General features: G+C 43.1%; 1 protein-coding gene across 20 annotated transcripts in view, besides 5 other annotated features; it reads right to left on the reverse strand.

Annotated features, from left to right (window-relative positions):
* Window positions 1–27347, reverse strand: part of WT1 (WT1 transcription factor) — a 47765-nt gene that overhangs the window by 11114 nt on the left and 9304 nt on the right. For 8 of the 20 annotated variants that reach the window (NM_001407047.1, NM_001407046.1, NM_024424.5 and 5 more), the window contains 3 exons: window positions 18689–18766; window positions 17602–17652; window positions 1060–1156 (listed from right to left, as the gene is read on the reverse strand). In NM_001407047.1, the coding sequence (NP_001393976.1) occupies window positions 1060–1156; window positions 17602–17652; window positions 18689–18766 (226 nt within the window). Of the gene's footprint in view, window positions 1–1059; window positions 1157–1257; window positions 1513–17601; window positions 17653–18535; window positions 18767–27347 lie in introns of those variants that run through there. The other 12 variants (NM_001407050.1, NM_001407048.1, NM_001407049.1 and 9 more) reach the window with 5 other exon arrangements.
* Window positions 22156–22205: a silencer, noted in NCBI's record as "silent region_3221". NCBI's record gives its function as "represses an Ori minimal core promoter by ATAC-STARR-seq in GM12878 lymphoblastoid cells {active_cell/tissue: GM12878}" and the evidence as "EXISTENCE:reporter gene assay evidence [ECO:0000049][PMID:35858748]".
* Window positions 25625–26412: a silencer, noted in NCBI's record as "reported as 0.91 kb fragment". NCBI's record gives the evidence for it as "EXISTENCE:reporter gene assay evidence [ECO:0000049][PMID:7629096]".
* Window positions 25625–27347: part of a biological region, named in NCBI's record as "WT1 intron 3 regulatory region", that runs on past the window's edge. NCBI's record gives its function as "regulatory_interactions: LOC107982234 | WT1".
* Window positions 25946–26412: a silencer, noted in NCBI's record as "460 bp 5'delta3S4 fragment". NCBI's record gives the evidence for it as "EXISTENCE:reporter gene assay evidence [ECO:0000049][PMID:7629096]".
* Window positions 26008–26281: a mobile genetic element. NCBI's record gives its function as "required for silencer activity".

Here is a 27347-nt window from a genome sequence, read left to right on the forward strand (position 1 = left end):
GCTCACGCCTGTAATCCCAGCACTTTGGGAGGCCGAGGCGAGTGGATCACCAGGTCAGGAGATCAAGACCATCCTGGCTAACACTGTGAAACCCCGTCTCTACTAAAAATACAAAAAATTAGCCAGGCGTGGTGGTGGGCACCTGTAGTCCCAGCTACTCGGGAGGCTGAGGCAGGAGAATGGTGTGAACCCTGGAGGCGGAGCTTGCAGTGAGCCAAGATAGCGCCACTGTACTCCAGCCTGGGTGACAGAGCGAGACTCCCATCTCAAAAAAAAAAAAAAGAAAAAGAAAAAAAAAAGACCGGTGATTATTGGGAAGAGAAGAAGAGGGAGGGAAGAACAGGTGGAGTGTAGGGAATTTTAAGGGCAGTGAAACTATTCTGTATGATACTAGAATAATAGGTACATGGCATTATGCATTTTTCAAAACCCATAGAACTGTACAACACAAAAAGTGAACCCTAATGTAAACTATGGGCTTTAGTTAACAATAATTTATCAATATTGGCTCATCAATTATAACAAATGTACCACATCAATACAAAATGGTACTAATAGGGTAAAGTCCATTTTTCTAAAGTCCATGTATAAAGCTTAGCACAATGCCTAGTATATAGAAAATGTCCAGCCATAGGCGGTACAGTTAGTATGATGATCATCAACACTTGGCAAGATGTGAGTCTACCTGTGGACACTTTACGATGTAGACCAAATCTTAGAAGTCAAAGGTCCAAGCGGTTAATTCAAGCCCAATTAGCTTAAATACAAAAGCTGCACAGCCCGCCCTGGAGAAGTCAAATGGAGCAGTAAAGGCAGAAAGGAGAGGATTCTGTTAGGACGCATCTTGCGCAGCGTCAGGCAGCGGGGCAGCCTCTCTAGGAGAGGACACAGCCGCCTTATCAGACCCAGGGGACGAGCAGGTGTCCCTGATGTTAAAGGAGCCTGCAGTGAAGAAGAGGCTGCCAGGGCCAAAGAGTCCATCAGTAAGGAACTAAAGGGCCGGTAAGTAGGAAGAGGCAGTGCGGCCCCCTTCCCGCTGGGGCCTGTCTGTGTGCTCACCTGAATGCCTCTGAAGACACCGTGCGTGTGTATTCTGTATTGGGCTCCGCAGAGGATGGGCGTTGTGTGGTTATCGCTCTCGTACCCTGTGCTGTGGCTGCAAACACAAAGAAGGGAAAAAGGCTCAGTGTGGCTCACAGTCGCCATTTGGAAATGCTTATCTGCAATCAGGAGGGAATGATGGTTTTTAAAGCTCACAGAACAAAAATAGTTGGTTTTTGCCTCCCTCCATGGGGCCACTTTAGATGCAGGGTTCTGCGGAGGGCGAGGCCCCTGGATCCTGGCCGCCACCTCGCAGCCCCTCCCTCATCCTCCGATTCTCGTAGGCGTGCACCGTCACGGTCTAGGTCTCGCTCAGACAAGCCGAGGAAGACCACAGTGGCAGGGTTTCATCCTCGGCAAGTTGTTTACCATCTAGACGGCAGGGCTGACAGCTGCAGGTATCTCAGGAATGAGCAGAATGCCTCAAGCTTCACGTTAAGTGCACTGAATTTGTCGGCACCTCATGACTCAGTTTTTACCAGATAGCACCAAAAAAGTGATGACGCAAGAAGAGATGTCATGTCCTCAGAAGTGGGGATTACATATCTGTGGCCTCACTCTGCTTAAATGACAGGTCAGTTTTCCAGATCAGCTTAACTCTTGGTAGCCAGCCTGTGCTGTAGGTGGGCACTGAAGAATCTTCCTCCAGCATTCCACTGACTAGTCCCCTAACTGGTGCTCAGGTTAAGCTTCGACTACATAGGAAGAGCTGAAAGATGTGCAATGCTGAAAAGGACAACTTGAAAGGAACGAATGTTCTGTTCTAAAATTATTCTCTCCTTCAGATACAATGCCTCTATCTGCTCTACAGTTATTTTACTTCCAGATGAGATGAGGCAGACTGAGGTTTTTCACCCACACCAGCAGCACATTAGAATTACACCTAGAAGCACCGAGGAGAGCTCTTATGAAATAGCTCTGTGAAATGATGCAGCTGCTTTGCAAAATATCTGGCAGTTCCTCAAAAGGTTAGACATAAAGTTAACATATGACCCAGAAATCCCACTCTTAGGGATATTCCCAAGGGAAATGAAAACAGACGTCCACACAAAAACTTGTATACATTGTGCATTAGCAGCATATTCCTAAGAGCCAAAAAGTAGAATCAACCCAAATGTCCATCAACTGATGAATAGATAAATCAAAGAGAGTATCTTCATACAATGGAATATTATTCAGCAATGAAAAGGAATAAAGTACCAATACATGCTACAATATGGATGAACCTTTAAAATACCGTGCTAAGAAGCCATTCACAGAAGACCACATGTAGTATGATTGCATTTCTATAAAATGTCCAGAATAAGCAAATCTGTAGGGACAGAAACTAGATTAGTGGTTGGGTGCCTTGAACTGGGGGAGTTGGGAAGGCAAAGAAAATGACTGCTGAAAACGTCCTAAAATTGTGGTAATGGTCATACAACTGTGAATATACTAAAAACCATTGCATTGTACACTCTAAATCGGTGAATCATACGGTCCGTGCAATCTATAAATCTGCTTTTAAAAAATTATCGGGGGGGGGTGTGGTCCGAGAAGGATGCATCAGTATATTTATTTATTTATTTTGAGATGGAGTCTCGCTTTATCACCCAGGCTGGAGTGCAGTGGTGCGATCTTGGCTCACTGCAACCACCGCCCCTGGGTTCAAATGATTCTCCTGCCTCAGCCTCCGGAGTAGCTGGGATTACAGGCGCACGTCACCATACCCGGCTCATTTTTGTACTTTTAGTAGAGATGGGGTTTCACCATGTTGGCCAGGCCAGTCTCGAACTCCTGGCCTTAAATGATCCACCCATCTCTGCCTCCCAAAGTGCGGGGATTACAGGTGTGAGCTACCAGGCCCAGCCGCATCAGCATTTTTAAAAGCCTCCAGGTGGGATTAAACTGGCTGTCAGCACTGAGAATTCCATTCTCTGCCTCCATTACTCTAACAGTTGGTTCCAGGGGTCCTGGGCAGGGAGGCAGGTAAGCTGGTGGGTGGATCAGCCCACTCCATCTGGTGTGGTGTGGGGAAGCCTGGAGTTGACCCAATACTCACTCACCCAGAGGAGAGAGTGCCTGAAGGAAAGAGTGTCTGCCAGGACAACTGAAATGTCCACACCCCCTAGGGCCACAGAAGCTGTAGGGTTTCACATTTACTTCTGGCTCTAAGCATTTTAGAAAGAACTGCCTGCCCCTCTAACCTACCATATCTTGTCTCCACATCCTTCAAGTAATTTTTGACTTATCTAGGGCAGGGGGAATGTCTCAAAGAAGTAGCCCCAGGGTCAAACCTGCAAAAATTGGGCAAAAATGCCAAACCCAAAGAACATATGCCCTTCTGACCCTTAGAATGTGTTTGTCAGGAGAAAGAGGCTGTGTCTGCCTTCCTTTCAATTACTTGGTACAGACAGTGGGAAAGTGAGAGGTGATGACAATGGCCATTTGGCAGCAGAAAGAGGGCAGTACCAGAATGGTGCCATGGTGCTGCCAGAACATTTTGCCTCAAAGGCTGTGAAGAGAAGCTGCCTTTGCTTGCTTCAGTCATCTGCATGGAGCCACAATGTGACTTACACATTTTCTTTCTTTTTCTTTTTTAGAGCTTGCTCTATTGCCCAGGCTGGAATGTAGTGGTGCGATCATAGCTCACTGCAGCCTTGAATTCCCTGGCTCAATTGTTCCTCCTGCTTCCATCTCCCAAAGAGCTAGGACTATAGGTGCCCCGCACCATGCCCAGCTGATTTTTATTTTTATCTTTGTAGAAACAGGGTCTTGCTAAGTCCTCCATAGGATGGTCTCAAACTCCTGGGCTCAAGTGATTCTCCCACCTTGGCCTCCCAAAGTGCCAGGATCACAGGAGTGAGCCACTGCCCCTGGCCTACTTTCCACATTTTCTAGGGCTGAAGGATTTCTAGGGACACAACATTAAAGTTCTGCCATCGAAGGGTAAAAATTAGAAATCTGTCTTGACAGCTAAGCTCTGGGTGTTAGCTGGGTTCCTGGAGGGTGGGGGCATGGGAACAGACTTTCCTGAAGACAACTGTCTCATGAAATTAAGTGGTGTGACACTCAAAGGGAACAGCAATTTGCACAGCTGGATGCAAACCACAAACAAAAGAAGCAACAAGCAACAAGACTGTACCTGCCAAATATGCCAGTGGATTCTCCTACAAGGTCCATGAGGAAAAAAAAAACAGCCAGGCCCCCGCCTATGGGGACTTGGGTCTCCAAAGGACAAACACACCAATGCAATTCCACACTGTGGAAACCTGCAATTCAACACTTCCCAATGTAGTGTGCCCAGAACACCAAGTACAACGTACTGGCATCTGATGTGGTAGCAATTCTCTCTAAATAAGTTTTTAAAAAGCAACTCGGTCTGGGAACCATAGACTAATAGAGATAGAAAGGATCCAGAAAGGCCATCTACACCAACCCCCATTTGGAGCAGAAATCTCTTCCAGCTTATGCCCAACAGTTGATCAACATGACTGGTGACTAGTTTTCAAGATAGCCCATTCCATTTTAGGAGAGCTTTAAAAACAAGCTGAAATCTGTCTTCTCATTTCGGACTCCTGGAGAACCACTGAATGAATATTACTTTTTTTTTTTTTTTTTTTTGAGACAGAGTCTGGCTCTGTCGCCCAGGCTGGAGTGCAGTGGCATGAAGTCAGCTCACTGCAACCCCCGCCTCCTGGGTTCACGCCATTCTCCTGCCTCAGTCTTCTGAGTAGCTGGGAATGCAGGCACCCGCCACCACGCCCGGCTAATTTTTTTGTAGTTTTAGTAGAGACGGGGTTTCAACGTGTTGCAGGATGGTCTTAATCTCCTGACCTCATGATCCTCCCGCCTCGGCTCCCATTGTGCTGGGATTACAGGTGTGAGCTACTGCACCGCGCCCAGCCGCAAATATTACTATTTTACAGCCATCTGTGTGTATCTCCTCTGCCCCATTGTAAACTTGGCCTTGAATACAAAGACTCTCTGCTCTTCTCTGCATCCTCTAAACTCAGTGACTGAGGCCGGACATGGTGGCTCACGCCTGTAATCCCAGCACTTTGGGAGGCCGAGGCAGGCGGATCACGAGGTTAGGAGATCGAGACCAGCCTAGCCACCATTGTGAAACCCATCTCTACAAAAATACAAAAATTAGTTGGGCATGGTGGCACGTGCCTCTAATCCTATCTGCTTGGGAGGCTGAGGCAGGAGAATCGCTTGAACCCGGGAGGCGGAGTTGCAGTGAGCCGAGATCGTGCCATTGCACTCCAGCCTGGGCGACAGAGCAAGACTCTGTCTCAAAAAAAAAAAAAAAAAAAAAGATTTCAAACAGTTTTCATGTTTTTCTGTTTTGTTTCCTAGTAGACTTCCTTTTGAGACATAAGATAATTGACCCTGCTGAATGACAGGGAGAAGGGATTTATGAGTCCTTGGCCAAGATAGTCAGGAAGATCACAGGAATTGACAGCAAGGTGTCATGAGGCTATGGTTCCAAGTGGGGAAAAGAACGGTGAGTCTGGGGCAGGCAGGTAAAGTCACGGGAGAGGAGGTTCAGGGTAATATGACTGCTTCTCCTGTCCTGCCACAGAGACCACTCTGTGCTAGAAGCCACTCTCCAACTTGACAAAGATACTTTAGACAACAGTTCCTTTGGTTTTATTGTTCAACCAAGCACAAATCATCCATTTAAGCATTTAGTCCATCATCCCCTACCTTGTCCACAAGGACATCAAAAATATCAAATATCTTTTGCAATGAAGAGCCACAATATTAGTGAACTTCCACTATTGGACTGGTAATTCTACCCAAAAAGAAACGGACTTGGGCACGTGTCTTGCATACCACTAACCAACCTTGGTCATGATCCCTGTTTTCTCCCCAGCTTGTTCTCAAAGATCTGGCCTAATAACTTTTCCAAGAATTCATGCTAACTCTGTGGTTTCCAGAATCCACTGGGTTTTTTTCCTACTTGAAAACTAAGACATTTATCTGTCTCAACTCTTCGGTCACCTCTCTTATTCTCCATGAATTTCCCGGTTATTGGATAAGGAGGCAGTTATTTCATGTGTTTGCTAAATTGGTCAGAATATGGATTGACTCTTTTTAATTTAAAACAGAGCCATGAACTCAAATATTCCTATAGGGGCCAAGTAAGACAAGTAAAATGAAGGCGACCCTAAAGAATGAGACGATATTGAACTCACAGGGACGGCTACCCTGGCCACATCACCCTCTGACCAACAGAGGCAGCCACGACTCAGCTCTCCCAGCCAATAACTGTAAACAATGTGAACCCAGCATTGCTATACTTTTCCATTCTCAAAGAAAAGTAGGAAATCTGGACTTTTTTGAGAGCACCTGAGTTATAAGTTCTTGCGAATAATTGAAATTTTAAAGAATCACTGTCGGGTCAAATAAAACACACACTCTAGATGGCACCACTGCACTCTAGCCTGGGTGACAAGAGTAAGACTCTGTCTGTAAAAAATATATATATTTTTAATATACATATATGTTATATATAATATATTCATAAATGTATAATAAAATATATGTTGAATATATAAATATATACAGAATATATACTTATACATAAATATATATATTTTTCAATCCTTAGAACCCTAGGAGTCATTCATTAAGTTCCATCACCTTACACAAATGACAACTTCCTCCCTGGCCTCAGCTTCATGTAAAATGAAAATTACAGCACTTCCCGCATCAGACTGATGCAATAGGTCAGGTAAGTAAATCACAGTGCTTGGTATGCACTCAATAAGTGTTAAACTGTTGCTTATGTAGTATTATCCCCATTTTACAGCAAAGAATACTGAGGTTTAAGGAGACATTGCGTTATTTGCCCACAGTCAGATGGCAAGTGGCAGAGCTAGAGTTTGAGTCCAGGTCAGTGCTTTTCTTCCTTCCAAATGAGCTGGATAATCCTGGTGGTATTAACCCCACCCTACAGGTTCACTTTTATCATCATGAGACTTGAACGACTCCCAGCTCTTTTCTCCAGCGGGATGAATGAAATTAGGCATGCTGAAGGTTTTAAAGGTGAACTGGGGTAGAGGGAAAGGACTAGGGTAGAGGAGAGTTGGGGGAGTGGGGAAGGACAGGTTTGAAACATTCCCACTTTAGCCTTCTTCAGCTTCTACTTGGAGGCACAACATGTAGTTTTGCATAAAGCAGTGGTCCCCCATGTTTTTGGCACCAGGGACCAGTTTTCTGGAAGGTCATTTTTCCACAGACCAGGGGTGGGGTGGAGGTGGGGGTGGTTTTGGGATGAAATTGTTCCACCTCAGATCGTCAGGCATTAGTTAGATTCTTATAAGGAGAGTGCAACCTAGATCCCTCACATGTGTAGTTCACAATAGGGTTCATGCTGCCATGAGAATCTAATGTCGCCACTGATCTGACAGAAGGTGGAGCTCAGGCAGTAATTCGAGGGATGGTGTGGCTATAAATACAGATCAAGCTTTGCTACCTCGCCTGCCGCTCACCTCCTGCTGCAAGGACCAATTCCTAACTGGCCACAGACCACTACCGGTCCATGGCCCGGGGGTTGGGGGCCTTTGGTATAAAGAAAGCACAAGGCTAACTGATGGAAATGGCTGCTTATGTGCAACAGAGCATGAAGTTTACCCTCCACCAAAAAAAAAATATATATATTTATTTCTATTGAACTGGGAAAATAAGCAGAAGCAGTTATCAGCAGAGCATGCACTTTGGCGCTTCACTTCTGGCAGTGGCCTGGACTGTACATTTTGCTAAACAGCTTTAAGATGCATAAAAATGTATCCTGAGAAAATTTGCTTTTCCTAGACAGCTTTAAAATGCATAAACACGGCCGGGTGCAGTGGCTCATGCTGGTAATCCCAGCACTTTGGGAGGCCGAGGTGGGCGGATCACCTGAGGTCAGGAGTTCGAGACCAGCCTGGCCAACATGGTGAAACCCCATCTCTACCAAAAATACAAAAATTAGCCGGGTGGGGTGGTGGGCGCCTGTAATCCCAGCTACTTGGGAGGCTGAGTCGAGAGAATCGCTTGAATCCGGGAGGCAGAGTTTGCAGTGAGCCAAGATCGTACCACTGCACTCCAGCCTCAGCGACAGAGCGAGACTCTGTCTCAAAAACAAAAACAAAAACAAACAAAAAATGCATACACACTTTCCTTAGAAAGTTTGCAAAAAGAGAAAAATGTCCCTCATATAACACAAATTGTGAGCCCTCTTCCCGCTAAAAACACGTACATTGAGATTTGGCTCAGGAAAAACAAAAAAACAAAAAAACAAAAAACAAAACACTTAACATTGCAAGAGTGGCTTCTTTAGAAATGATTAACTTTGATATTCCACAGGCACATGAAGATTAATAAAAAGGAATTGAGGTTTTACAGATGAGGAAAACCAGAGCCGCCCTGGAATCCCTTATCAACAGAAGAAGTAAAAGAGAGAAAAGAAAAAGAGCCTTTGGAAGGCAATTAGCATTCATATGAATATTCAAAAAGGGGGAATTTCGGCCTGTCATTTCTCTCTCCCACCTCTAGTTATTGGCCAGGCAGGCATCCCCCCATCTTCACCTCCGTCTTCTCCCCTCTGCAGAGTTAATCAGATTGAAGGGAAGCACCTGGGGACATTCAAACTCTTGTGTCTCTAAAACATGGAATTTACCCATCAACCCCTCTTCTCTCCCCACCCTCGATACTCAGGGCTCATACGTGAGATGCTGAAATGCCTGATTCTTTTCAGTGTTGACAATAAACCCCGCTGCAAGCCTTGAGAACCATCACCCCCTTGTTTAAGGATCTATGCTAAGAAACTATGCTTCCTTAAAGTTTAAACACAAGAGAAGAGGCTGAACACAGTGCCACTCATCAATTACATTTACCTAAAAAAGAAAGAAAGAAAAAGGAAAAAAGAAAATAAAAAAAGAAACCCAAATCGAATCAAGCCTCTAGGAAATACAGGGGAGGCCAGGCGCGGTGGATCATGCCTGTAATCCCAGCACTACGGGAGGCTGAGGCAGGCGGATCATTTGAGGTCAGGAGCTTGAGGCCAGCCTGGCTAACATGGTGAAAACTCATCTCTACTAAAAATACAAAAATTAGCTGGGCATGGTGGCATTTGCCTGTAATCCCAGCTACTCGGGAGGCTAAGGCAGGGGAATCGCTTGAACCAGGGAGTCGGAAGTTGCAGTGAGCCGAGATCGCATCAGCCTGGCTACAGAGTGAAACTCCATCTCAGAAAAAAAAAAAAAAAAATGCTGGGCGCAGTGGCTCACGCCTGTAATCCCAGCACTTTGGGAGGCTGAGGCAGGCAGATCCCTTGAGGTCAGGAGATCAGGACCATCCTGGCTAACATGGTGAAACCCCGTCTCTACTAAAAAATACAAAACATTAGCCGGGTGTCGTGGCGGGCACCTGTAGTCCCAGCTACTTGGGAGGCTGAAGCAGGAGAATCACTTGAACCCAGGAGGTGGAGGTTGCGGTGAGCCAAGATTGGGCCATTTCACTCCAGCCTGGGCAACAGAAGGAGACTACGTCTTAAAAAAAAAAAAAAAAAAAAAAAAAAAAAGAAAGAAAGAAAAAAGAAAAGAAGGAAGGCAGAGGAAGGGAGGGAAAGAATGAGAGAGAGAGAGGAAGAAAGAGAAAGAACAGAAAAAAAGAAACACAGGGGAGAGAGGACCAAGTTTAAAAGACTGTAAGATAAAACAATCTGCCAAATCCAGACTGTGGGATATTCTACCAGAAAACTGACCTGCTATTTCCAATAAACCAATAGTCTGAGAAGAAAAGGGAGGAGGGGGCTGTTATAATATAAGCTAGACTTAGGAGAGGACAACTACCAAATAAAACAAAATACAACAAAACAATAAACCTCCGTGTAAATACTGTACTCTGTACTTACTGTGTACTCGTATGAACCACAGATTGCTGGACTTGAATTAATCAGCCCTAAGAGACTTAGGGTCAAAAGATCCAGGAGTATTCCCTAGGAATTCTCAGTGGTTATGCCACAGTGCTTAGGTTTAACACTTTACTCAATGAATATCCAATTTCCCTGTAGCCACAGTAAAGTAATTTCAGAAGTCACTTTCATATGCACTTATCAGATCTTATTTGGGGAATGAATAGATACTGGATTATCCACATTCAGAGCTGCTGGCAACCTGGCACAGATGCCCCTAGATCAACATAAATATTATTTTATTATTTGCTTGAGTGTGACATGCTCCATCTCTTTATTTTAAAAAGTAAAATTTAAAAAATACCAGAAATAATTAAATATTTTAAAATGCTTGGGATGGGAAAAGTCTAAGCATGATCGAAAAGTCAAAAACTTGAAACTGTAAGACAAAAACTTACTATTTTTACCATAAAATAAAAATATCTGACAGAAAAAAACCATTAACAGAATTAAAATACAAACCAGAGAAAATATTTTCATTACATATGACAAGCAAAATAACTCTTATAAAGAAAGCACTTTTTCTTTATTATTATTATTTTTAGAGAGATGGTCTCTGTTGCCCAGGCTGGAGTGCAGTGGCATCATCATAGCTCACTGCAGCCTCAAACTCCTGGGCCCAAGCACTCCTCCCACCTCAGCCTCCCAAGTAGCTGGGACTATAGGCATGCCAATATGCCCAGCTAATTTTTTAATTTTTTTGTTTTCTATAGAGATGAGATCTTGCTATATTGACCAGGCTGGTCTTGAATTCCTGCCTCAGCTTTCCAAAGTGCTGAGATTACAAGCATGAGCCACCGAGCCTGGCAGAAAGAACTCTTATAAATTAATATTGTTACTAGATGATCTATCCCAGCTTCTGGCTAAAGCCAGCCCCACCAACTTATCTATGGAGCCCCTTCTCTCCCACCTCCTTCAAGGACACTGTTCCAGTGATTCTGTCCCCTCCCATTGACCATTTTTTTCCTCCTCTTTTTTTCCTTTTCTTTTTTTATTTTTGTATTTTTTGAGACAGAGTCTTGTTCTGTTGCCCACACTGGAGTGCAGTGGCACGATCTCGGCTCACTGCAACCTCCGCCTCCTGGGTTCAAGCAATTAATTCTCTTGCCTCAGCCTCCCGAGCAGCTGGGATTACAGGTGTGTGCAACTATGCTCAGCTAATTTTTGTATTTCTGTAGAGAACAGGGTTTCGCCACGTTGGCCAGGCTGGTCTCAAACTCCTGACCTCAAGTGATCCACCTGCCTCGGCCTCCCAAAGTGCTGGGATTACAGGTGTGAGCCACCATGCCTGCCCCATTTTTTCCTCCTCTTGATCATTCTCATCAGCAAACAAACATACAGATACTTCTATCTAAAGATAAATAACTAAATAAAAGCAGAACAATTTAAAACAAAACCACTCCTTCTCCCGACCTTCTTTCCCCAGCCAGCTAGAACCCCATTTTTTTGCTCCCTTTTGCAGCAGAACTCCATGAAAGCATGATCTTTACCTCCTCTCCTTGTCTCTTAAATCCATCTGTTTCAGGCTTTTGTCTCTTCCGTCTAATATATTTAGAGGTAACTGCAATTAATAGTCTGATAAATGTTTCCAGAATTTTTTCTCTGAAGATATAAATACACCTCAAAATGTTTTTTTAAACAGTTATCTCTGGGTGGTGAGACAACAGATTAATTTTCTTTTCCTCTTTATAATGTTTTGGTCCCGTCTGAATTTTTTAAAAAATGATAAGCCTGTGTGACTTTTATAATCAAGGAGAAAATAACTGTTTTCATTTTAGATAAAGTCGCCATCTAGGCATACAGAACTACATCTGTTGTTTTAAAAATGAAGAGTTAGAAATAAAGCTAGAATAAATAAACTTGTTCGCTTTTAATAGAAAAACTCCTACTAAAATATGCAGTAGCTCCTTGTTTCAGAGAAACACTTTTCTGGATAACTTTTTATTAGTGTAGCTTCCAGATCAATGTTCTTCTACCTAGAGGTTATGATCTTTTCTTGGGCAGATGACAGGCAGAAGGATAAATGGTGAGTAGAGGGTCTCAGAAGAGATCAGGGATAGGAGAAGTCCAAATACTGCTTTGGATCATTAAGGTATCTTCCACTCATCTGATGTAACCTCTCCCTCTCCAATACACACACACACACACACACACACACTTTTATCAATCCTCATTAACCTCACTTCACCTCCCTGTGCTACAATCACTGTTTCTCATTTCCAACTTGGCCCCTTCTCCATCCCAACCTTTCTTTCCTATCTTTCCTATTCAGCTCCTTTCTTCTCCAGATCTAAACAAACCTAGCATTTTTCCTCACCTCCACAAGATGAAAATAATTCCTTGCTTTAAAATAAAATAGTTAGAATCATGGTATGGAGGTAAGTCTGCAGAGCCCATAAATATTTTTTAAGAGGCTGAGAATATTTTCAAGAAGTCAAAGCTATCATGACAACTTCGTGATGGCCTATAAATATGCATTTGCTGAATTGAATCTCACCTGAAGCCAATCATTTTTGTAAGAAAGAAAATGACACAAATGTACATGCATGGACAGGAAAGGGTCTAAAATTTTGTGCAACATCATTATCATCATAGTTTCATCTAGGCTTTTGGGGGGAGTTTTAATTTCCTTCTCTGCGTAGTTGTATTTTCTAACTGTTCTATAATTTATACACATTACTTACATAATAAAAAAATTCAATACATTCATCAAATGCATGTCCAAAAATAAAAGGATAGAAAAGGCCAACAGCCAGGGAGGAGAAAGAAGAAGCAGAAAAGTGAGAAGCAAAGGAAAGAAGCTTCCGAATCAGTCCACACTAAGTGAGAGGGACACAGAGCTAAGTCACGAGTCTCCATCTTTATCAAACCCTGGAGTCCCATTCTTCGTTCTGGTTGGCAGGGTTAACAGACCTCAGGCCAAGTCCAATGCAAGGCAATAATAAAGAAAAAAAACTCTTTAAATGGCATTAAATGAAACTTTAAACGGTGGAAAATTAATAACTTGTTGCTGGGGGTGGAGATGGAGTAGGCTCGGCAATGCTGATATTCACAGAACTGAGGCTCCCCACCTTCACTTTGCATCTCAGGCTCCGGGAGCCACTTAAAAGCAAGCTATCTATTTCCAAGAAGTAAATCTCTTGGACGGATACCTTATGTTCACGAGCCCGCGAGGGAAGGTGCTGGGCTGTGTATTGGAGCTCCCAGCCAGAGAAGACAGCTATCTCTTTTGGCACAGGTTCTCAGGGATGAGACCATGTCTAGCGGGGATTTTCTCCAGATTCGACAGCCTTGGCCCTACCAAAACGCACAGCTTTGTTTTCACCACACATCACTCATTGTTGAGTCTTTTTTGTTTTTCCTCTCAAGCATCCACAGGTTGAATACTGTGTGTTCCCAACAGCCTGTGAACTTCTTGGACCAGCAAAGGGACATTCATTTTGCTGAGCACTCCTTTCACATTTCTATTGTGTTCGATTTCCCACTCCCCCTACCCGAGTCCCCAGAGAATAACTTCTTCCTTGTTTTAATAACTTGGATCACAGTCAAGGTTGATGTGTTTCTCCATTTTGCAGGATATTTTCTTCAGAAGAGACAAAACAGAGGCCAACAGGGTAGGAGAGGCTTGTTCGGAAATCAGCAGCCATTGAGAACACACAGAAAATGTTTTCAAAGAAATAGAAAGCAGATAACACAAGGCACCATCAATAGAAGGCTTCAAAATGGTGGACTCATACTCAGAAAGATTCCCCAGCAACGTTTTCTCCCAGGGACCCACTTTAAAAATCTAATTTCATTTGTTTGGGGGTGAGGGAGAAGAAAGTACTTTCCGTAAAGTACCTTCTCACTGACTTAAATTGAAATACATTCTCCCATTGGAGGTCATAAAAGTAGCTGTGATCCCAGTGGGTATGCAGAAATTAGAAAATGAGTAAAGGGAGAAGGAGGAGAAAGGAGCGGTTCAGTCACACAAGTATATCCCACCTCTAACACAGCAAGTTTTCATTTCATCTGCCCATGTTCTTTATAAAATCCTATCCCCACCCATTGTAACACTGCTCCCTGACATCTAATGAAAGATGTCTCCGTGGACTTGCTTGGGATACAAGGAAACAAACCTATTCTTTGTGAAGCCACTTTTTTGAAACGAAACATTTTCAAGGAAAGAAGACCCGAACCAGCATTTAGTGGGGTTTAGTCTGAGGTGCATGATCTTTTAATAAAAAATTGATAATGCCTCTTTTTTATGAGTGATATGGAAATTACATCTTTCTTCTCTAAAACATGAACCAAATCACCAGTTTTTCCTGTAATAGATCAACCTTGTCACATGATTTTTCTTAACATTGATTTCAAACAGTGTCAAGACACTAGTTATGAATGAACACAAAAAGTTATGTGTCTGAATTTGTCTTCATGGAATACCTTTTCTCAAATGTATTCTCCATATTAATACTTTTCATACCATGGCAAAAGAAAGTAAATCCAGTATCACAAAGAACAATGACCCCAACCCAGATTGGTCTCCCCTGGGGAAAGGCCAAACTTTCTACTGGAATTACAGATTCAACTAAATCCAGTTCTGGGCTGTTCATGAGTTTGGAGGAGACAGCCAAGGTGTCACCATGTTTGAATGCTAAAAGTGAGGCAAACTGTGGGTCATGACACATCAGTGGGTTGTAAAATCAATCTAGTACATCACAATCAGCATTTTAAAAAATGAAATAGGATAGAGAGAAAAAGTCAGCATGCAGAGCATGTCATAAGAGTATTGCTCAGTGAAAATCTATGTTGTGTGTGTGTATGTGTGTGCACATGTGTGTATATGGGATCTCACTGTAAAGGGTATTTCTAACTGTGGTCACAGTCTAAAAGGTTTCCACCCATTTAAGAAGCTCTAATCTAGGGCCCAGGTCCTGGAGTCAGACAGAACTGATTCCAACATGGCTCTGCCACTCACTTACTATGTGACCTTGGTTAGATAGCTTAATCTCTCCACCTCCTCAGCTAAAAAATTGGATGTGGCCATAGTGTCCTGGGGGTGTTGTAAGATCAGATCAGAAGAGGAAACATGTACAGCCCCTCACACGGCACCCAATACTGTTTATATACATCCTTAGATAAATGTCCAGTTCACAAAATGGAAGCGGAAATTCGTGGATTTACAGTATGTTCTACAGTGTGAGAGAAGATGGTAGGCAATTAGCTAATTGTAATTTTTGCTCTGCAAAACAGTTGTTCTTTTGTGGAACTATCTGTTGGGCCATCTAGCCCTTTTTATAACAGCTCCCTGAATAAAGTTAATATTCGAGAAATATACATATATATTGTGTTTGTTTGTTTTGTTTTGTTTTGTGGAAGGGTCTCACTCTATCGCCCAGGCTGGAATGCAGTGGCCTGATCTTGGCTCACTGCAACCTCCGCCTCCCAAGCTCAAGCAATCCGCCCACCTCAGCATTCCAAGTAGCTGGGGTTACAGGCATGTGCCACCACGTCTGGCTAATTTTTTTGTATTTTTTGTAGAGAAAGGTTTTCACCACATTGTCCAAGCTGATCTCAAACTCCTGAGCTCAAGTGATCCACCCACCTCAGCCTCCCAAAGTGCTGGGATTATAGGCGTGAGCCACCATGCCAGGCCAAGAAATACATTTTTAGTCAGGGCGCAGCAGCTCATACCTGTAATCTCAGCACTTTGGGAGGCCAAGTGTGGCGGATCGCCTGAGGTCAGGTGTTCAAGACCAGCCTGGCCAACATGGCGAAAACCTGTCTCTACCAAAAATACAAAAATTAACCAGGTATGGTGGCAGATGCCTGTAATCCCAGCTACTCAGGAGGCTGAGGCAGGAGAATCACTTGAACCCAGGAGGCAGAGGTTCCAGTGAGCCAAGATCGTGCCACTGCACTCCAGCCTGGGTGACAGAGTGGGACTCCATATCAAAAAAAAAAAAAAAAAGAAATACATTTTTATTTCAGAAATCCTTTCTAAGATGTAAGTAACGGACCAATGAAAACTCTTCTCATTTTTTTCTTATGTAGGATTGAACAGAACAAATTGTTCACACTTTGTGCTTCATCCTTATAATACAGCTTCTGCCTCCTCAGCAAGTGACTAACAGTACATGTCTAAAGACCTTAAAAAGTATCGAAATTATCTTAACCATGGAAATATCCAGCTGCAAATACATGCCAAATTCCTTATCTGTAATTTTTGTAACTGAACAAACAAGCCCCTGTATTACAGCATGAAGAAGTTTTTGAAACTGAAATGTACTGCTCACTTCACAATCATGTTCTGTCTATCCTTGCTATTTAGCTTGGGGAAGGTTATCAAGTTCTGAGGAGAGGAGAAAGGAGAAAAGGAAGGGAGCCAGAAAGAAAGGGTGGGACCAAGAAGCCAAGGAACTTAAGACGAGTTAAGAACAGGTAGAAAGGCCAGGCACGGTGGCTCACGCCTGTAATCCCAGCACTTCGGGAGATCAAGGTGGGCGGATCACCTGAGGTCGGGAGTTTGACACCAGACTGACCAACATGGAGAAACCCCATCTCTACTAAAAATACAAAATTAGCCGGGCGTGGTGGCACATGCCTGTAATCCCAGCTACTGGGGAGGCTGAGGCAGGAGAATCGCTTGAACCCGGGAGGTGGAGGTTGCGGTGAGCGAGATGGCACCATTGCACTCCAGCCTGGGCGACAAGAGCTAAACTCCGTCTCAAAAAGAAAAGAGAATGGGTAGAAAGACAGAATGCTAAAACTGTCAGCAGTCCCCCAGATGGAAGACAGGAGAGAAATAATTTAAAACAACAGAAAGCCTTTTCTTTGTGGTCCAGAGAGAGGAAGAGGAGATCTGGATAAAACTGCTGAAAAATTTGGGGGCGGGGGTGAGGTGAAGAACCTAACAGTAAGTCTTGGAAGATGAAATACAACTCTGTTGATTACTGAAGGATGAACCAAATAACAGGACTGGGCCCACACAATAAAGAAGAAAAGAGGGCGGCTGGTTGTGGAGTTAAAGCAGAGAGAAGAAAAAGAAACAGCTACAGAAATTCCCCAAGGTGCAGGGTACAGGGCTGGGGAAGGTGCGAATGTTTGGGAATAAAAACAAACTTTGAAAAACAACAAAAAACAAGTCTTTTCAAAGCCTGGCCTCAGACTTAGGGTAAGTTCTCCCTGAGAGATTTAAAGGTAAATAAAGAAGAAGCAAGTTAAGACTGAAAGCTTTGACTGATCTAACAGGAACATGTGGCATTATGGTTGTAATGCCACAAATTTAGTATTTAGTATTTTGTGAAGTATTCACAAAGAAATGAACAGGATGCTGCATAATTTTTTACATTGTTTTCCAGGGGCATGTTGATGAGAAATGCTACTCCCTCCATTTTGTCCCCAGCATGTGTATGATGAATAAGAAGAGGTGGGGGCGGGGGAGAGAGATTCTTCCCATCCACCAAATGCTACCCTGATTACCCACGTCAGTCCTAACTCCTGCATTGCCCCAGGTGCCAGTCAGCAAGGCCTACGCCATTTGCTTTGCCATCTCCGCATTGTCCACTCACTTGCTCTGCCCTTCTGTCCATTTCACTGAGCTGGAGCTCCCAGCAGCAACTCTAGAAAAGAAGAAGAGGTGGGGAGTGGGGAATGGAGCATGCATGGATCTGGCAAGCCCCCCAGATCCCAGAATCCAGTGAAAAGCCCCTCAATACACAGAGACATCAAGCTAGCTATCAAGAGTGCTGAACTAAGTCCCCAGTCCCACTGGGGCCAATGGTGGGGTGGAAGGCACCACCGGAGGCTGCAAAGAGCTTGGGCTTTGGAATCAGATCTGGACTTGGCATCCCAGCTCTAGCACTTAGTAGGATGTGAACCTGGGAAGTAACTTAACCCTCTGAGCTTGGTTTACTTATCTGTAAACCAAGCAGTACTTAGCTCTCATGAGAGTGTTGGGAAGATAAGATGAGGTAACCTGGAAGGACACCTGACACGCTGCAGGCACTTCATGAGTGTTCTATGCTACTGCCCATCTCTTCACACTTGGTAGAAAATGAAAAGTGAGCTCTTTCAATGGTGAAAGCAAGTCCCACCTGCCTTCTTTTTTTTATTTTTTCATTTTTAGGTGCAAAGAGTAGCTCCTTCTGATGTTTCCTGGCTGTATTCTCCCTATTATGGTTGTATTATCAAGTATGGAAAGAAAAACCCTGTTGGTGCAATCAGGTATGGGCGTATCTGACTGTGAATTGCCCAGATCAGCATCACACAAATACAAATTTGGATCCCGGACTTTGCACACCCAAAGCACTTCTTGATAAGATAGTGGAATGGTTAACAACTGTGATATCATAGTAAAACACAATTATTAAATGAGGTTGAATAGCCTTTGAAGAATTATAAAACATTCAACAAGACCATAATAAGTGTCCTCAATATTCCTTGTTCCAGATAGAAACAACCCACATTTATGTTTTTGAAAATTTAATACTGAACACAACTCACCAACTAGGGGAAGGAGGAAAGCGTTCTAATGTCACAGAGAGCTTTGCCCTTTCTTCTAAAACTGTACTTTCTTCATAAGTTCTAAGCACCTTTGAAATGGTTCAAACAGGTATAAGTTACTGTGGAAAGGCAATGGAATAGAGAAAACCTTACCCCTTTAAGGTGGCTCCTAAGTTCATCTGATTCCAGGTCATGCATTCAAGCTGGGATGTCATTTGGTATAAATTGTCACTGTTAGAAAAACATCTAGAGTTAGAAACACATAACCACAAAATAATACACAACTGTTTCTTCAAAAGCAATGGAGTTTTAACTTTTCTTGAAAGTGCAAGCCTCCACATTTTCCAGAATGACAGAATATGCAAATCTGAATTATTTTCATTTCATCCCACTGATCTCTGCACAGTTATACACTTCATACACAGCAGAAGGGATGTGAGAGTAACTCAGAAGCATTTTTTAAAACCTTTGTATAGCAACTATTGAAGTTTCTAAAGAAGTATTAAACCTTTGAGGGGAAAAGGCTAAGGGGAGTGAAACTTTGAAAGGCAACACAGGCTGGATAACTCAACATTAAAGTTAAAAGCCTGGAGCTGAAAGTAAAGACAGCAGATTAATTATTCGTGAAAAGGCCATTAAGTTGTTTTAATCAAAAGGATAAGTATCATGTGGATTATGAGGGTCTGAAAAGTCAGAGTGATGGGTGATAAATGGTCTAAAAAGCAAGGATGTGACAAGCAGAAGAAAGACGATGATAAACTCTATGCACAGCGGAAGGAATCATTTTCTATATGTTTTATAATCCTGGTACAAGTCAAATTAAAAAAAAAAAAAAAGAGCCCAGTTCTATAAGACTCTATGAGGGAAATGGCTTATCATTTACATTAAGACTCCAAAGAAGTCTTACACCGCTATGTAAACCAACAAAAAGCTGTTCTGTCCCCTCTGTATTTATCTCATTCCTAGAAAATTAGCACATGAATCAATTGCCAGAAATCTCCTAAATTACCAAGCTCCATCAGGAATAAATTTATGCCTGAACTGAAATGGTTAATTATGAAATTTGAGACCCAAGAGACCAAGAGTTTTTCTGGGACCTCTTGGTCTAAACACTTTACAGAAGAAAAATTTCACTCTACCTTCATGGCAGAAATGAAAAAAGATAAGAGGCATTTAATATCCGATGTGTGGTATCAGATTGCAGATATAGGACCATCTCTGTCTGGTCATGGCATTCTTTTAAGCTGCTTCACTGGGCAGAGGCAACACCAAATTTTAATTCAGAAAGGCTTTTTTCAGGCCAAGCATAACTGGGAACTTGAGGAGGGGAGAGGGAAATTACAGCAACTCAGAATAAATGAATTCTGTGCTCTCTGTCCGCATAGCGTGATAAATCATGGCAGAGTCCATCTGACTCTCATATAATAACTCTGAAAATTATTTGGAACTCCTTAGTGGTGGGTACACAGGATAAGGAGGAAATCAGATTCCAGGAGGGAATTTTGCATATGAAAAGTGAAGTGACTTCAAACTCAAAGTATGTGCCGTTTCATTAGTCAGTGTGTATCTGGACGCCGTCACTCATCCCCGTGTCTGACTGGCTATTATGCTACTACAATATCCTACATATCAATGAAAAAAAATGATGAGTTTCTCCTGCAGCTTCCCTGTTTGTAGCAGCAGCCCGTACTGGTCTGTGCCACAACATTTTGCAATTCCACAAATTCTTGCTGTAAGGCTGGAGTAATTAATTCCTGAAGGACCCCAACTTTTATTAGAAGTGCCAGCCTGCAGCATTTACCACAGGAGAGTTTCTTGAACTTTCTTTGGGCTGACAGTTCATTAATAAGCGGCCTCCTCCACAATCTCTCTACTGGTTTTTGTTCTCCTGCGCCTTTTCATCAAGCAATCCATTTATTAATCTTACCATTAATCTCAGCCAACAGGCATTGTATTCCCCAGGCAGCTCTATATTTTTGTCACTAATTTTTTAAAAATTGTTCACCAACTAAAATCACTCAGCCCCAGTTGACAATTTTCCTAGGCCCTTTGGGGATATGGGATCTTTCTGAAATTATTTCATCCTTTCACAACTCAGAAAATCATAATTTTCAAGAGAACTGGGAAAGAAAGATGAGTGACAGACGCTGATGCAGAAGGGTGAATGAATCCCAAATATCTAACTTTATGAGTTGGAAATTTTCTCACAGACTTAAAGAATAGTCTGGTTGATTCCTAAGGTCTCTGTAAGGAAGTACCCCAAAGAGAAAATAAACATTTTTTTCCGTTAGACGGAGTCTCACTCTGTCGCCCAGGTTAGAGTGCAGTGGCGCTATTTCAGTTCGCTGCAACCTCAGTCTCCCATGCGCAAGCAATTCTCCTGCCTCAGCCACCCAAGTAGCTGGGACTACAGGCATCTGCCACCATGCCCGGCTAATTTTTGTATTTTTAGTAGACATGGGGTTTCACCATGTTGGTCAGGCTGGTCTCAAACTCCTAACCTCAGGTGATCCACCCGCCTCAGCCTCCCAAAGTGCTGAGATTACAGGCATGAGCCACCGTGCCTGGCCAATATTTTTAATGGCATTTTCTTGGCCCTCAGAAGGCAAATCTTCTCAAATACAAGGTCTATGTCTTACGTATATGACTTTTTCTAGTGTGTACTGTACTGTCTAATATGGTATACACTGGCCACATGTGACTCATGCCACACATTAAAATGATAAGATTTTTTGCTATATTGAGTCAAATATGCTATTTGAAAAATTAATTCCACAGCTTCTTATTTTTTGAATGTGGTTACTAGCAAATTTCAAATTACATGTATGGCTTGTGTTATGTTTCTATTGGACAGTGATGTTCTATAAGTTTTGGGACATTGAGCAAATCAGTTCAGCTCCCTGCCCCTCAGTTTTCTCATCTGTTCAATGGGAATATTAATCTCCATCAGTCTAACTGTACAGAAATGTTGTGAGGCCCATAAAAGGTAATGCCCTCAATGGCCCTTTGAAGATGATACAGATAATATACTTTAATTACTTTAATTTGTTCTAACCTACCAAATTTTGCACAGCACTTTCACACATTCTCAATACTGCTCACAACTTTGTGAGGCAGATGTAATTCTGAGTCCCCATTTATTAGATGAGGGTTGAGGCACAGAGAGATGCCCAGTGCTGGCATGCCTGAGCCCCCACCCTCACTCTGCCCTGCCCCTATGAAGGCATCCTGAGCCTCATCCTCTCATTACCATTTATATAATAATAATAATAACAATAATACAGACAAGAGTCTGGAGGTGAAAGAGAATATGCTCAAGGGAGCATCATGACCTACTCAGTCTCTAGAAAATGACGATGCTGCAAGATGCCCCATGTGTCCTCTTCAGCTCACTAAGGGCAGAGTGCCAAGATCCCAATAGAAGCCCCCTTTGCCATTCTAGCTGTCCTGATAGCTTAGCCTGCAAACTCTCAGAAGAGGAGAGAAGGTGGGGAGGATGTATGGGACAGAAGGACTTTCAGAAAATCCCCAAGCTACTAATAGGTTTCCTGAGGCCAGAGATAGGATCAGAGCACAGTTTTAACCACATCCTGCCTTTTGCTGGCTGGGGCTCCTCAGCTGCTCAGTCAGTGGGCCTGGCTGGCACGGCCTTTCAAATGGAAGTCAATGACAGCAATGACAATAACGGCTGCTGGGGAGGGGACAAAAATGTGAACTGGAGCTAAAAATACTGGGCCGAAGCATGCTCAGGCTCTGATCTCTTTGGGCAATCGCTCAACACCCAGCTCTCATCATGGAAGCCCATGGAAAGAGGCAGCTTCGTTCAAGGAATATAGAGCCTCTGGCAAATGAAGCATCTAATTACTCAATAACCACTGTAGGTGCCACCACCTCATTCCCAGAGGAGATCAGATAAGCAGGTGGTTTGGCTTACAGCGACCACTGTGGTCACGTAGGCATTTCAGCTCCAACCGTCTAACTCTGCCTGTTCGGAAGTGAACTTTCAAATTGCAGGCTGCCAAAATGTATTCCAAAAGTCATGGTGTCCTTTATATTTTTTAAGTAGATTTTTTTTAAAGTCACTTGTTTCCTATGTAAGAATGTTTGAAGTTGGAGGCAAAGGAAAGAGGAAAGAAACTTCTATAACTGGGATTAATGCAAGTTGGAGTAAAATAAAAGGAAGTCAGTCCTAGCAAAAAGGGGGAGCTTAAAAGGAAATCAGTAGTAGATCATATAGAGTTTGTTTTGGCCTGAACTGCAGTATTATTAAGTTCTCGACCTCTGCACAAAAAGAAAGGAAGAAAAAAAGCCTCAGCTGTTATCTAGATGAGAACTCCTCCACTCTTCAAACGCATGTGTGATTCAAGCACATTTTCATCTTTAAGTCTGTTTATTATATTCAGCAGAATAATTTGTGTCATCAAGGGAATAGAACCATCTAACCTGGCTGAGATCAGGGTCACCTCTGCCACGTAGCTGCTGGCTGGCCAGGTAACATCTTGGAAGAAGTAAAGAGCTGCCCCCAGAGGATAAAAAATAAAAAGGCTCAAAGTAGACATAACTGGCATCTGTGATTAGAATTCATGTTTCCAGCTTTTTCGGTAATAGCTGTGTCCCACACCAACAGAAAGGCCTCTGTGGGTGTACCTCTACCTAATAACTTAACAGAGGGTGCAGCCAGACTTCCACACACCCTTTTCCTGTGCTCCTCCCTTTGAGGTGCTTTGCAGCCTGCCTGCCTAGAAATTTCTGCCCAGCAGGCCATAATGAATAATTATTTCACAGTCACTCTCTTGGTATTGTAATTTCTCTCAAGCTCACCAGCTAACCAAAGAAAAACCCACTGGGGATTCCATTTCTATTAATAAACACTTGGTCAGCACAAAAGTTACAGGAATATTTGGAACTAGATTTTTCCTCCTCCCTGGAGACGAGTTTAATTCAAGCCTGTGGCTTTGATAACATTGCCCATCACCCTGGAAGCCGTTTCAGACCTTCCACCTTCTGCCTATCATTGCAGGAAACAAATATTGATTTTCTACTAAGGGAAAAGGCAGTGTACAATGTACATAGGTACACAAGTGAAAAGAGGCATTATTAATTACAATTTTATTTTCTTGGGCATGGGCTGTCATCTGATTTCTGTCTATGTTGAAGGCCAACCCAAGTGGTAGATCGGCACTTCCCACTGAGTTATGGAACCCAAGATTTCCCAGAAACTCTATGGCTGCTGAGGAAGTTTCTCTCATATGAAAAATAATCTACTTGTAACAGGCTCCACTGTCAATGTCACCATTTGTGAATCATCACATCCAGTTCAAAACAGACTAACATTGAATGATTGCTTCCAGAGTCGGAGTGGTTTCACCTGCTAACAGGCAAAAGTACAGCAAAAGGAAATATCTTCATTTAAATTCGTAGCACAGTTGCTAAAGAAGAATATGCAAACCTAATAAAAGAGCAAAAGGAAAGGGAAAGGGCTAGAATGCCTAAAAGAAACAATCAGTGTGCATGGGAATATTTTTCAAACGCAGTGCACAGAACTTTTCAAAGTAGCCATGAGGATCATATGTGAAGTCGGTATAGTCAAGGACTGGGGTCTCCGAGGAAGTCAGCAAAAAGATGAGGCAAAGGGACTCTGGGAAGGAAAGACAGCAGAAAAGGCCCAGCTAGCTGCCTTTTCTAGGTAGAAATTAGGGGGGAAATTGTGCCTAGTAAGGTTGGACCCCACTACTCCCTACACTGACAGAAGAACTTTTCCCTGGTACCTTCCCTCTGGGCAAGCCCAAACCAGGGTGGTCCTGGAAGCAGTCATTCTTTCTGGGTCTGGATGGACAGGGAGAAAGGTCTCTGCCCTGCAATTCTTTAGGTGCCTGGGCTGAACTTCACCCCAACAGTTCACACCCAGTGGTAAAGACAAAACTGGAGGAGTCTGGAGTTTGAAAGACAACTGCTCTGTGTGTTAGAACTTCAGGAGAATGCTCAAGCCTGCTTCTGATAATGGCCTTCAGGGAAAACGCTGTCCCAAACCACTAAGAACTTTCTGTTGAAAGCTACAGGTAAAACTAATGGATAACTGACTTCTTTCACAACTGTGGGAAATAGGAGACCATCCTTGAGTGAGACTGAGGACAGATGCCACCTTCACAAAGAGAATGGCACTTATCCATCTAGAGAGAAAGCAAGTGCAGAGGGTAGGAGGATGGATTCTGGAGCTGTATTGCCTGAATTTGAACACCACTTCCGTCCCTTAACTGTGTCACACTGGGGAAATTTACTTCTCAGGGCCTGAGTTTCCTCCTCTGTAAAATGGCAGTGATAACCTGTTGTGTCCTTCAGAGAGTCACTAGGTAGATTAAATAAGTCAACACTTGTAAAGTGCTTACAGTGGTACCTGGTGCATGTTAAGTCTACATAAGCATGTGCTCTTATGATTTATGAGCAAAAGTGATACATTGGCCTGGTGCGGTGGCTCACGCCTGTAATTCCAGCACTTTGGGAGGCCCAGGCGGGTGGATCACAAGGTCAGGAGTTTGAGACCATCCTGGCTAACACGGTGAAACCCCCTCTCTACTAAAAATACAAAAAATTAGCCAGGCGTGGTGGCACATGCCTGTAGTCCCAGCTACTTGGGAGGCTGAGGCAGGAGAATCTCTTGAACCCGGCAGGCAGAGGTTGCAGTGAGCCAAGATTGCACCATTGCACTCCAGCCTTGCAACAGAGCGAGATGCCATCTCAAAAAAAAAAAAAAAAAAAAGTGATACATTGCCTATACAAGGGGAGTAATCAGATAGGGAATCCTGCGTGGTCTGGTGTCACTCAGTGATTCAGAGCACAGCTGGGCTGTGAAGTCAGAGAGACTAAGGATCAAATCCTGATTCTGATTCTCACTTGCTGTGTGACTTTGAGCAAGTTACTTTGAGACTCTGAACTTAAACTAGAAATTATAGTACCTGCCTCAACGAGTAGTCAAAAGGGTTAAATGGGTAAACTGAGTGAACCATTTAACGTCATGCACAGCAACATATAGTCAGCATGCAATAAATTCCAGTTATTACATTATAAGGACTCATGCTGTCATCCAACAATGATCACTGGGTTCCGTAAGGGCAGACACCTGGTTTCAGAAACCCTAGTGACCTTTACACAAAACTCCACCCACCTTGTATATGAGAGGAGAGGGTAAGGAGGATAGAGAAAACCACCTCCTGTCATTTCCCATAAGTTGCTGATTGAATGTATTTTCTATTCACTGTTGTTCATAGCCACAACAAATATATATGCAGCTGCAACTCCTCAGAACTGTCACCTGAGAGAAAGGAGGGAATTGTGCAGGGGACAAGGGAAGAACTGGGATTTTGAGAATGTCCTCAAAGCACACTCCACACTGTATTTTGCTTATTTAATGTCAGATCTGTACCATTACCTTTCTTTAGACTGACAAGGGAAAGTATATCCAAAGACTGGGAAGAGGCCCAGCACAGCGGCTCACACCTGTAATCCCAGCACTTTTCGAGGCCAAGGTGGGCAGATTACCTGAGATCAGGAGTTTGAGACCAACCTGGCCAACATGGTGAAACCCCGTCTCTACTAAAAATACAAAAATTAGCTGGGCATGGTGGCCAGCACCTATAATCTCAGCTACTTGGGAGGCTGAGGCACAAGAATCACTTGAATCTGGGAGATGGAGTTGCAGTGAGCCAAGATTGTGCCACTGCACTCCAGCCTGGGCGACAGAGTGAGACTGTCTCGAAAAGAAAAAAAAAAAAAAAAAAAGACTGGGGAAGAAAAAGTTTGGTGAGGGAGGGGGAGAAAAAGCTGGGCAGTCAGCCTCAGAGGGTCAAATGCAACAAGGCAAACAAAATACAAGCAAGCTTTCCCCAGAAAGTCCCAAACTTTAGAGAGAAAAAATGAATGAAACCAGGGACCAGTAGAAGCACCACTGAATACCTAAAATCCAAAAGTTAGGGTGTTAAGCAATTAAAGTTTAGTCCTATTTTTTATGCTTCTTCAACCATTACATTCACAAAAGCATTTAAATACCCTTTCAAACTTGTTTAGGAGTAGGAAAGAGGGAAACCATATAACTGTAGTAATGTTGGTGCACAGACCCAGGTTTAAAACATTCCTACACCTGCCCATTCATCTTTAGACTGCAAGGGAAGCACATGATCTTTGAAAACTGAATGGAAATGTTAATTTAGAGTGAATGGAGCTTTCAAGATCCAGACAGCACAAATTCCAAGGGAACAAACTCTTCCTACAGGGGTCACAAATTCTTTTTTGAGATGTTACTACTTGGGAAATTTTCTGTGAGAGGGAAAAATAGTATTTTTATTGGATTTGTGTAAAAATAACAGGACCAAAGAAAGTTCCTCAATTATAAAGAAAGAAGATAGAAATAAACAAATACTTCTGAAAGGTGAATTTGATGAAGTGCTTAATACAGTGGCCAATCAGAAGCTGGATTAGAAAACGTGAAAATTTATGTGATGTTTCCTACTTCCCTAGCAACCACAAAATCAGACCTAAGTCAAAATCCACCATAGGCACCCTGGAGAATTGCTATTAAACCAGTGGTAATGATCGCTTTTTCCTGGACTCCTCTTTCAAGGCTGCCAGGTCCTCTGATGGACCCCTTCCTAGGGTCCCACAGGGTGAGTCTCGGCTTGGGAGAGGGAAGTAACGGATGTGTGTGTAGCTTCGAGTCACTGAGGCACCAGACTGCAAGGTCTTCCAGTCCCCAACCCCCAAGAACACCTCCCATATCGACAGTGCCCACTCCCGCATCAAGGTCTTCTCTCAGCCTAGT

The sequence above is a fragment of the Homo sapiens genome, chromosome 11 (genome assembly GCF_000001405.40).
Source record: "Homo sapiens chromosome 11, GRCh38.p14 Primary Assembly".
Classification (NCBI taxonomy): domain Eukaryota; kingdom Metazoa; phylum Chordata; class Mammalia; order Primates; family Hominidae; genus Homo; species Homo sapiens.